Genomic DNA, 11,891 nt, shown 5'->3' on the forward strand with positions numbered 1-11,891 from the left:
GAAGAGTCAATAACCCACACAGCCTTCCCATCTTCCTTCTACTCTCAGGTCTCTTCAAGTCTATTCTGCACACAACAGCCAGCAAGTCATTAAGGCACTAAAAAGATAATGTCTTACCGTATTGGGACCCCTCCAGTGGCTTACCACCTCAGCGAGAGTAAAACTTAACTCTCTAATAGAACCTCCAGGGTCCTCTGTAATGTGACTTCTGGCTGCTTTTCCAATCTCATTTTGGACCATTCTTTCCTCTTCAGCTGCACTGGGTCCTTGCTGTTCCTTAAACACTCCAGCTATAGTCCTACCTCAGCCTCTACTGCATTTCTCTCAGGTTTCCCCAGGGCAATGCTTTCTCTCCTTTGAAGTCTCCACATCATCCTTGGAAGGAGATTGTGTGGGCAAGAAATAATCACATTGTCTTGTGCTCCAGAAGCTCGACCTTGTTCTGAATGGAGTCAGTTTAAAGTAAACATCAAGTGGAAAAGAAAGTTACAAAAGGTAAGAAAGGATATGGCTTATGTGGAGGTTCATTAGTCCTACCACTTTCAAAGAATTGGTAGCATGGGTACAGTGGCTAGATGTAGGAGTCTGAATTGCATTTCCTTTTTGTTACTAGTGATTGGAGCTCCTTCTCTTAAGAAAAGTTGCTCTCCAAGGAACAAGATATACAGACCCCAAAGCCTTGCTTAGCAACCCATTCATAGAAATATATATATAATGTCAGACTTAAGGTGCCTAATCTGTTTAATAAATCCTAGTTCCTCAATATTAAATGGAAATGATTATATATTATATATATATATTTGTATAAAATCATCATTAATTTAGTAAGGATTTAATGAGCATCTGTCTGTAGCATCTAAAGCAGGTTATTATTAGTTAAATGGTAAGCTATTGTGTAAATGAATTCAAACAAATGATATTGAGGTCAGCTAAAACTCATTGACCATTTTCTTTGAATTTGGGGTTCATTCTTCTAACACTACAGCCATTATTCGTTTTTTAAAAATAAGCAATTATTGTTAGTTTGGCACAACTTGGAGAAGGTAAAATTCTTAAAGAAAACAGACAATAAATCAATTCACTAGAAACCATTACTGGTTTGCAATAGAGTGAAATAATTTAAGCCCCTGGGAGATGATATACTGATAATAAACGTGTAGATGATGATGATGGTGCTGATGATAATTAACATGTACTGAGTATTTATTAAGCCCATGTAATTGTGAAAACAAAGAATTGTATTCTCAAATAATCCTGATATAGGCATCATTATTATCCTCATTTTAATGATGAGGGAAAAAAGCGCAGAGAAGTTAAATAACCTTAACCCAAATTGTGTGGTAAACTGACAGAGCCAGGACTTGAATGAAGGCAGTCTCTCTTCAGAGTCTAGAAATTCTGACACTGAGATTTGTGTCAAATTGATAACACATTTATAGGGTTAAATGCAATTAGAATATATGGAATACATTTTTATAGAAATATTTACCAGTTATGGCGTTATATTCCCAATAGTTTAATTAGGGGAAATCTTGATATTGGTGTGACCGATTTTCTAGAGAATAGTAGTTATAAGGTGAAAGGTGGAAGGCGAAGAAATGATTGGCTAACCTGTGTCATTTTTAGATCCAATTTCCATGAATTTTTGAACTCTCAGGAATAGAATTCTTGTTTGAATGAGTTGATTTTGAGTGAATCACACTTTGGGAATTCATCATAAAAAATAGTCTCAATCATTCCTGGAGACAGAGGGACTGATGTAGTTTGACACATTGCTGGCATGCTCTGAATCCCCACCACTGTCAAGATTTTGAAAGACATAAAACTAGTTTTCAAATGTTCAAACCTGGGCCTGGGAGAGATTCTGAGTCTCACAATTTGAAAATAAATAAATTTTGTCAAGTGTTTACTGCTCAAATCCTCCCTGAAAATTGGCATGTCATATTTGCAGGAGAAAGTGGATCCTTCATGTCAGTTTCCAGTAATAGCAAAGAAAGAGTATTTCAGATATGCAGTATTATAAAGCACAGAAAGCGTAAGAGAGACTGCTGCACAGATTATGTGTCAAAACTAAAAGTTAGCCAGTCAGTGCAAAGAAAATAATTTTATTTTTATAAATCTGTCTAGTTTTACATTTCTTAACCATTGATGCTTCCAACACTGAAGTTATAGCAGGTCCTACAAAGAAACAAGAGTAAAAAGTGTAGACAGTGATTCCCAAGCAATTTACTAATAAAAAGTCCATTTGATTATTTTATTTTGAGAAGTATTATTTCATTTTCACATTGTGAATGATGCAGACATCACAAAGTCTCTATAGACTAAAACACGAAGTTTGCATACACTGATATTTTCACTCCTACTCTTCACAGTAATTATTTATCAGCAGTTTTGAGTTTATCCTTGCAGTTTTCTTTCTACATTTTGCATATCTATACATGTACATATTATATATATATATATACACACACACACACACACACACACACACACAGAGATACATACATAATGATGGCTTTGGGCATAGTCTCAAAAAATTAACAATGTGTTTTATACATCGTTTAATGTTATTATTTTCAAGGGCAGGATGATGTTTAAAGATAAGTATGCATAGGCCGGACGCGGTGGCTCTCGCCTGTAATCCCAGCTCTTTGGGAGGCCGAGGTGGGCGGATCACGAGGTCAGGAAATTGAGACCATCCTGGCTAACACGGTGAAATCCCGTCTCTACTAAAAATACAAAAAATTAGCCGGGCGTGTTGGCAAGTGCCTGTAATCCTAGCTACTCGGGAGGCTGAGGCAGGAGAATGGCTTGAACCTGGGAGGCGGAGCTTGCAGTGAGCCGAGATCGCGCCACTGCACTCCAGCCTGGGTGACAGAGCAAGATTCCGTCTCAAAAAAAAAAAAATAAATAAAAAAAAAAAAAAGAAGATAAGTATGCATAATAATTTACTCAACCAATTACATATTAATTAAGATTTAATGTATTTCTCATTTTTAGTTCACAATTTTGCTCTTAAATACAATGCTGTAGAAATTTTATTTTCAGCCATGATAGGGTAACTGCTTCCAAACTTGCCCTTCTACCATAAGCAACTATAAAATCGAATAAAATATGTGAGGTAACTCTTTGAGGCATTGGGCGGCAGGCAATACAGGAAGGTGATTCTTTTATTATTATTATTATTATTATTATTATTATACTTTAAGTTTTAGGGTACATGTGCACAATGTGCAGGTTAGTTACATATGTATACATGTGCCATGCTGGTGTGCTGCACCCATTAACTCGTCATTTAGCATTAGGTATATCGCCTAATGCTATCCCTCCCCCTTCTCCCCACCCCACAACAGTCCCCAGAGTGTGATGTTCCCCTTCCTGTGTCCATGTGTTCTCATTGTTCAATTCCCATCTATGAGTGAGAACATGCAGTGTTTGGTTTTTTGTCCTTGCGATAGTTTACTGAGAATGATGATTTCCAATTTCATCCGTGTCCCTACAAAGGACATGGACTCGTCATTTTTTATGGCTGCATAGTATTCCATGGTGTATATGTGCCACATTTTCTTAATCCAGTCTATCATTGTTGGACATTTGGGTTGGTTCCAAGTCTTTGCTATTGTGAATAGTGCCGCAATAAACATACGTGTGCATGTGTCTTTACAGCAGCATGATTTATAGTCCTTTGGGTATATACCCTGTATGGCATAAAGAAGTCTGTGGGATTCCAAGTTTGTTAAGGAATTTTTTTTTCTGGTCAATTGAAAACAAAACTCTGGTGTTAGACATATCTGGATACTGATTGAAAGTCATGCCTTGTGAACAAAAGATACTATATCCAGAGAAATTCCAATCCAAATATTTAAAATAAAAATGCAAAAAAGAAACTGTGTTAAGAGCTTTAAAATAAATTTATTTTTTTAAAGAATCTCCATACTGTTTTCCATAATGAGTGTACTAATTTATATTCCCACCAACAGTGTATAACAGTAGCCTTTTCTCTACATCCTCACTAGCATTTGATATTTGTTTTCTTTTTGATAATGACCATGCAAAATGGGGTGAGATGATATTTCATTGCAGTTTTGATTTACATCTCCCTGATGATTAGTGATGTCAAATATTTTTTCATATACATATTGGCCACTTTTTAGGTTTTCCTTTGAGAAATGTCTATTCAGATCTTTTGTCCACTTAAAAAATTGATGATGATGATGATGATTGCTATTGAGTTGTTTGAATTCCTTATATATTATGGATATTAACCCCTTGTCTGATGCATAGGTGCAAATATTTCCTGCCATTCTGAAAGTAGTCTATTCATTCTGTTAATTTTTTTTCTTTTGCTGTGCAGAAGCGTTTTAGTTTGATATAATCCTATTTTTCTATTTTTGCTTTTGTTACCTGTGTTTCTGAGGTTATATCCAAAAAATTGCCCAAACCAATGTCATGATGAATTTCCCCCATTTTCTTTGAGTAGTGTCATAGCTCAGGGTCTTAAAATCTTTAATGCATTTTGAATTGATTTTTGCATAAGATGAGAGATGGGTCTAGTTTTATTCTTCTGCTTGTGGATATTCAGTTTTCTCAGCACCAATTATTGAAGAGACTCTCCTTTCCCCAATATGTGTTCTTTGCACCTTTGTAGAAGATCAGTTGGCTATAAATGTGTGAATTCACTTCTCGGTTCTCTGTTCTGCTCCATTGATCTGTGTCTATTTTTATGCCGGTACTTTGGTGTTTTGATTAATATTGCTTTGTAGTATATTTTAAAGTTGGGTAATGTGATGCCTCCAGCTTCATCCTATTTGTCCAAGATTACTTTGGCTATTTAGGGTTTTTAAATTTTGTACACATTTTAAGTTTTTATATGAATTTTAGGATTTTAAAAACATTTTTTGTGAAGAATGTCATTGGTATTTTTATAGAGATTGAATTAAGTCTATAATTTATGGATGTTTTAACAATATTGATTTTTCCAGTTCATGGACATGGGATATTTTTCCATTTATTTGTGTCCTTTTCAGTTTCTTTCATCGGCATGTCATAGTTTTCATTGAAGAGATCTTTCATCTCCTTGATTAAATTTATTCCTAGGTATTTTTTTTTGTAACTATTACAAATAAGATTGCTTTCTTGATTTCTTTTTCAGATAGTCACTATTAATGTATAGCAACACTACTGAATTTTTATGTTGATTTTATGTACAGAAACTTTACTGAATTTATTTACTGCTTCTAATAGATTTTTTTGTATGTGTGTGGAGTCTTCAGGGTTTTCTATAGACGAGATCATGTTATCTGCAAACAAGGACAATTTGACTTTCTCCTTTCCAATTTGGAAGCTCTTTATTTCTTTCTCTTAACTTAATTGCTCTGTCTAGGACTTCCAGTACTATGTTGAATTAAACTGGTAAAAGTGGGCATTATTGTTATGTTCCAGGTTTTAGAGGAAAAAAATTTAACCTTTCCTTTTTCGGTATTATGTTTGCTGTGGGTTTGTCATATGCAAACTTTATTGTGTTGAAATATATTTCTTCTATCCTTAATTTGTTGAGTTTTTAAATCATAAAGAGATGTTTAATTTTATCAAATGCTTTTTCTGCATCTATTGAGATGATCATATGCTTTTTGTCCTTTATTCTGTTAATGTGATGTATCACATTTATTGATTTGTATATGTTGAATCATCCTAACAACCCTGGGATAAATCCCATGTAATCATGGTAAATAATCTTTATGATGAGCTGTTGATTTGGCTTGCTATTATTTTGTTGAGGTTTTGTTTGCATCTATGTCCATCAAGGATATGCTATATGATCAGCAATCCCACTAATGGGTATGTAGCTAAAGAAAATGAAATCAGTATATCAAAGAGATATCTGCACACCCATGTTTGTTGCAGTACTACTCACAGTAGCTAAGATATGGAATCAACCTTAGTGTTCATCAACAAATAAATGTACAAAGAAAATAATGTAGTTTATTTACATAATTAAGCATTATTGAGTCATAAAAAAGAATGAAATCTTGTCATTTGCAGCAACATGGATGAGCCTGGAAGACATTATATCAAATGAAGTAAGCCAATCACACAAAGACAAATATTACATGATCTTACTCATATGTGGAGTCTGAAAGGTTGATCTCATAGAAGTAGACAGTATAATAGTTGTTACCAGAGATGGGAAAAGCTGAGCAGGAGAGTGATGGGGAGAGGTTAATCAATGGTACAAAGTTACAGATAGATGGGAAGAATAAGTTCTTGTGTTCCATTGCACAGTAGGGTGACTCTAATTAATAATAATACAGTGTATGTTTCAAAATAGCTAGAAGAGAGGATTTTTAATGTTCTTAACACAAAGAAGTAATAAACGTTTGAGGTGATGGACATGCTAATTACACTAATTTGATTATTGTACGTTTTATACCTGCATCAAAACATGACACTATACCCCAAAATGATACACAATTAAATGGCAATTAAAAATAAAAATAAATTTAAAAGTGTTTTTAAATGCCTTATTATTTTTGAGCCCTAAATGGAAAGGTAAGCCAAACAACTTTGTGATTGCAGTAATTCAATTCTAGAAAATTTTTTTTGGCCATTGGCACAATGATTAGACATTATACATTCTGTCATTTCTTTTTCCTATCATTCTGCAATTCCTAATAGAAACATATTGAAGTTTTAAATTCTGTTGCCAGTGATAAATAATCATTTTTTAAAAATTCGTTATAGTGTTTTCATTTCTCTGTGCTCCATTTTGGTTGATTTCCTTAGACACCAAATTCAGTTTAATAATTCTCTCTTCAGCTTTGTGTAATCTGCTCTTTATTAGATGCACTGAGATTTTATTGCCAATTACTGTATTATGTTTTACATTTATGGAATTTTTATTTGATTCTTCTGTAGAAAATGTACCTACTCTTGTTAATACTACATGGTTATTTGATTTTGTTTCCCCCTCTTCAGTGTACGTCTTCGATTATTTTAAACAGATTGTTAAATAGATTTGTTCTTAGTATTCTATTATTTGAAGTTCTTTTCTTGAATTTTTGCAATACTTAATCTTGCTCATGCTAGTTTATTTATGTGAGTCGCAATTATTTTAGTTTGAGCCCATAGCTGCTGAGAGTGTTTTTCTTTGTGTGGGTCCTATGAGCCTTCTGATATGGAAGTGTTTTTATAGGAACAGCTTCTTATTTCAATCAGATCAATAGAAGTTTCAACTGTTTGACTGATACTAGTTTTTGTTAATTTTTCAGCAGTATGCTCACTCACTTCATAGTGTGAATTTTTATGTGGCATTTGGCTTTGTGTTTTTACCTGATGTCTAGAAAAATGAAAGCTCATAGAAGAGGGCTAATATGTTATTATTTAATACCAAGCATAATCACAAGAGTAGAAATGTGAAACAAGGATAGTGAAACAGTACAGAAAAAAGAGTCAATGCAAAGATGTGTTATCTGTCTGCCCCCTGCTAAGGGTGACTAATTGCTTCATCCTTGGAATCATGCCTTTCAGCAGCCTTTTAAAATATATATCAGCAGTGTTGCTGTGAGTGAATCTACCACAGGGCAAGGAGGGAAAAAGAAAAGGCAAAGAATTTGCCTACAGGATCAACTGGATCATCTTTCCCTTTGGTTAAAAGTGCAACCCATGAGATATATATATATATGTGCCTAGAAATATTCTTTACCACATTGTTTCTCATGCTTAACAAAAATGCCCCAAGGAGGAGGCAGGAAGCATGCAGGCAGGAGGTGAGAGTTATTGCATGATCAGGAGGTGATCAGGTAGGTCTTGTCTGGGTAGCCAGGAGCTACCCGTAGTACAGATACTTTGGTCACCTTGACCCTAAGGATCTCTTGGTATCCTAGATTTTTGAACTTGGGATGAATGCAAGTAATCATCAGGGCTGGTTTGGTTTAAAGGCAAGTGTGTAATTCTGGGGGCTACATAATGCAATCTAATGTATCCAGCTTTCATTTCCCAATGGGTACATTTTTTGTTTACTTTTCCCTGGATAACTGATAATCTTTCTCATTTTATACATGAGTGATAGTATATATTTCTATTTACTTTATTTTATGGAGGCGGTAGCTCTGTTATGTTCCAGATGTTATGCTTGATTTCTAAACTGCAGATCTCCAGCCTCATCTCATGCAAGGGTATCTTTGACAGGGTATTTTAATGAACTAGGTGAGAGATGATCATCCATTTTCTTGTCTTCCCTATTTCACAGGGAAAGGTCAAATAAGAAACTTTTAAAGTGAAATATCTCTGAATATTTTAAATTATTGAATACTATGTATATCCTGTTGTTGTGGTTTTTATTAATGTATGAAGTTTCAAAGGGGAGAAAAATAAATACTTTCAACACTCTACAGTTCCAATGACAATGCCTTAGTGCATAACTTTAGGCATTATTCTACCCAGTTTCTAAGAGACAAATAAAGAATATCCAGGATCTAAGAATAGCGTCAGCTTGAAGGTCACCTGTGTATTAATTATACACATTTATGTTGTGTTAAACATATACACATAATCAAGAAAGTGTTATTTATTTGTAAAAATGTCTTGATTTTTATATTAAAAAGTTCTGCTGTGTTTTCTTCATGTGGATCTCATTGCAGATACATCTGCCTACTGTTTTGTGTCAGAACTGCAACACTCCTACAACTATATAAATTGTACAGCTTTCATTACTATGGACTGAGAAAGTATGTTTTTCCCTTCTCATTAACATGGATACAAATGTACTTTCTAAGTTTTAAAGTGTGAATCAGCTAAATTAATATTAACATATTTAAAATAGTATACTTGATGAGGAAAATATAATAAAATTAAGTCACTATTTCTGATAACTATCCATGTTGTGGCAGAGAATGCAGCTAGGACATAGCTAGAAAAATGGAGAAGTGTTAGCTTGCCATAAAGCAGAGGTTAAATAGAGTAGGAATAGATTGATTGACTCTCAAATAAGAGCAATAGTGATCTTCTATTTAATTGCCTATGTCTCTTTCTCACATTAGAGGTGGTTCTATAAGCACTGAAGTCCAACAAAGCTCTTTTTATGTTTTTTTTCCTTATTTAACCACACTGATGTTTTGCAAAGTAGTTCCAGAGGAAAGGTCTTCCACCAATAGTCTGAAATGAATAATTGGTTGTGATTAATAAACACCAGATTATTGTGCATTATATATGTGGACAGTCATCTTTCCGAGACATTACAAATGGATATATGTGGACAGTCATCTTTCCGAGACATTACAAATGGATACCTTTGGGCAATAAAGAACTTACAAATCTATAGGCAGCAATTAAGAAATAAGCAAATATTCCTGATTGATAAATTGTAGTGACAAGACATATCAGAAAACAAATCTGAATTTAAAACTTTAACAAAATGATATACAAAATACGTGACATCAGCAAGACGGCTGACTAAAGGTGCCTGGCACTTGTCCTCATGCACACAAAAAAGGACCAAAGCAACAAACAAAAAACTAAAATTTCACTAGAATGTCTGAGGGAGAGTGCTGGAGTGCAGCAAGGAAGTATTAGGGTCCCTGTAGAGCATGGGAGCTCAGGATGGCAGCATAGAGAGAGGAGTGTGATCAAGGCACCCAGCCTCTGCTGCTCCATCTCCCCTGAGAGGTTCAGCTTGGAGCCAGGAGGTACTTCCCCTTGCAATTGCTGCTGCAGACACCGACATTCCTTACTACAGGAGAATCCCATAGTCTAATGAGTTCTCACAGTGTTGTGTCTGGATTAGAAGCAGCAGCATCACCTGGGAGCTTACTCAAAATGCAGATCCTAGGCTCCGCCTCAAATGCACCAAACACCCTTTCATGTAATCCCAATGTTTACTAAAGTCTGAGAACCACCACTTTTCTATATCATTAATTCTTAGGAAACTTTTCAAAGAGTAATGTTTGGCTATATATTAATCCATGCATTAAAGGGCTTTTCTAAGCATGGTGGATATTACCATGTTGCTTATTTATTTGTTTGATTGGTTAGGTAAACTTTGTATTTAAGTAAAATCTATGTAAAGGAAAAGAGCACAGATTAAATTTTACACTGTGAACACATCTGCATAATCACTACCCTGATTAAGATATAGAGCATTCTCATTAGCCCAGAAATTCTCCCATTGTTCCTTCTAAATACAATTACTCCCACAGATTAATATTCTGATTTTATCACAACCCCAAATGTTGAACTCTACAAATCATTTGCTTTGTGTAATTTTGTGTCTGCCTTATATTACTAAACAACATGTTTGTGAGCTGTATCCATGTTATGGCACATGCCAATGGTTCATTGCTTCATAGTACTACAATGCATTAACGTAACACAATTTGTTTATCCATTGCACCAATACTAGACATGAGAGTTATTTTCAGTTTGAGCTCTCATGAATAATAAAGCTATGAACACTTTTATATGTATTTTTGGTGTATTTGTTTATTTAGTGTCCAGATAACTTTTGTCTTAGTTTGAGTTCTCTCAGAAACAGACCTCAAGAAAAGAATGTGAGTATAAATAGTTTAAACGGGCGGTAATCCCGGGAAGCCCTGGTAGAGGTTGAAAAGTGAGGAGTGAAGAAGAAAGTCAATAAAGATTGCATCATCAACCGGTAACTACTTTGGGTAGCAAGTAGTTGCTACACAAATGACTCCAAGTTATCCCAATTAGAGGGGAAAAGCCATGAAAATTATCTACCAATTCCTGTCAATTCAGCCATTGTTGATGATGTTCCTAGAACACTCAATTTATCAGCAATTCTGGCATAAATAATATGTTTACAGGGAATGTTTTAGGCAGATAAATAATGTAGAAAAAAGTCACAGGTATGAAGTTAAGAAAATCATCAGTTTAGAGTAAATGGAAATGGCGAATTTTTAAGGGAAATTGGTGGGGCACCAAGAATTTCTAATACAGGCATGTACTCTGAGGTGCAGCTGCTGGCTTATCAGACACATATGGGTTCAGCTTTAGTAAACATTGCTAAAGAGTTCTCCAAAATGGAATTATCCATTTCCATTTCCACCAGTATGAGAGTTTTAGTTATTCTACATTCCTGCCAACATTTATATTGTCAGATTTTTATATTTTTATTACCATAACGATTTTTAGACATTCTGATTTATATGTGCCATTGTAACTTTGAATTTCCTTGATGAATATTGAAGTTAAGGATCTTTTCATATATGAATTCATCATTTAGATATTCTTTTGTGAAGTATCCTATGTTACTATCTGAAGATGTTTTATTTTACCTTTCATATTTTGGTTATTATCCATCAGGAATTGATTCTGTGTAGTTCAAAGTAGAGAATAAAATTTGTGGGCAGGGCATGGTGGCTCATGCCTGTAATTCTAGCACTTTGGGAGGCCGAGGTGGGTGGATCACTTGAGGCCAGGAGGTTGAGACTAGCCTGGCCAACAGAGTGAAACCTCGTCTCTACTAAAAATACAAAAATTAGCTGGGTGTGGTAGTGCACTTCTGGAATCCAAGCAACTCAGGAGGCCAAGGTGGAAGAATCATTTGAACCCAGGAGGTGGAGGCTGCAGATTGCACCACTGCACTCCAGCCTGGACAACACAGCAAGACTCTGTCTCCAAAAAACAAACTAATGCTTTTTCCTACATTGATATGCAATTGATTGAATACCATATATTGAGACGATTATAATTTCCTTCAATGCGTTGTACAGACATTTTTATTGTAAAATAGTTGACTCATTGTTAATTTTTATTCATTGGTTTTACATAACATATTTATGTGTGGCATTTTATTGTATTTAACTTGCTTGGTTTTCTTAAAACTCATTGAACACATGGCATGACATCTTTTTGGCTTGAAAATTACCATTATT

The sequence above is a fragment of the Homo sapiens genome, chromosome 11 (assembly GCF_000001405.40).
Source record: "Homo sapiens chromosome 11, GRCh38.p14 Primary Assembly".
NCBI classification, from domain to species: Eukaryota; Metazoa; Chordata; class Mammalia; order Primates; family Hominidae; genus Homo; species Homo sapiens.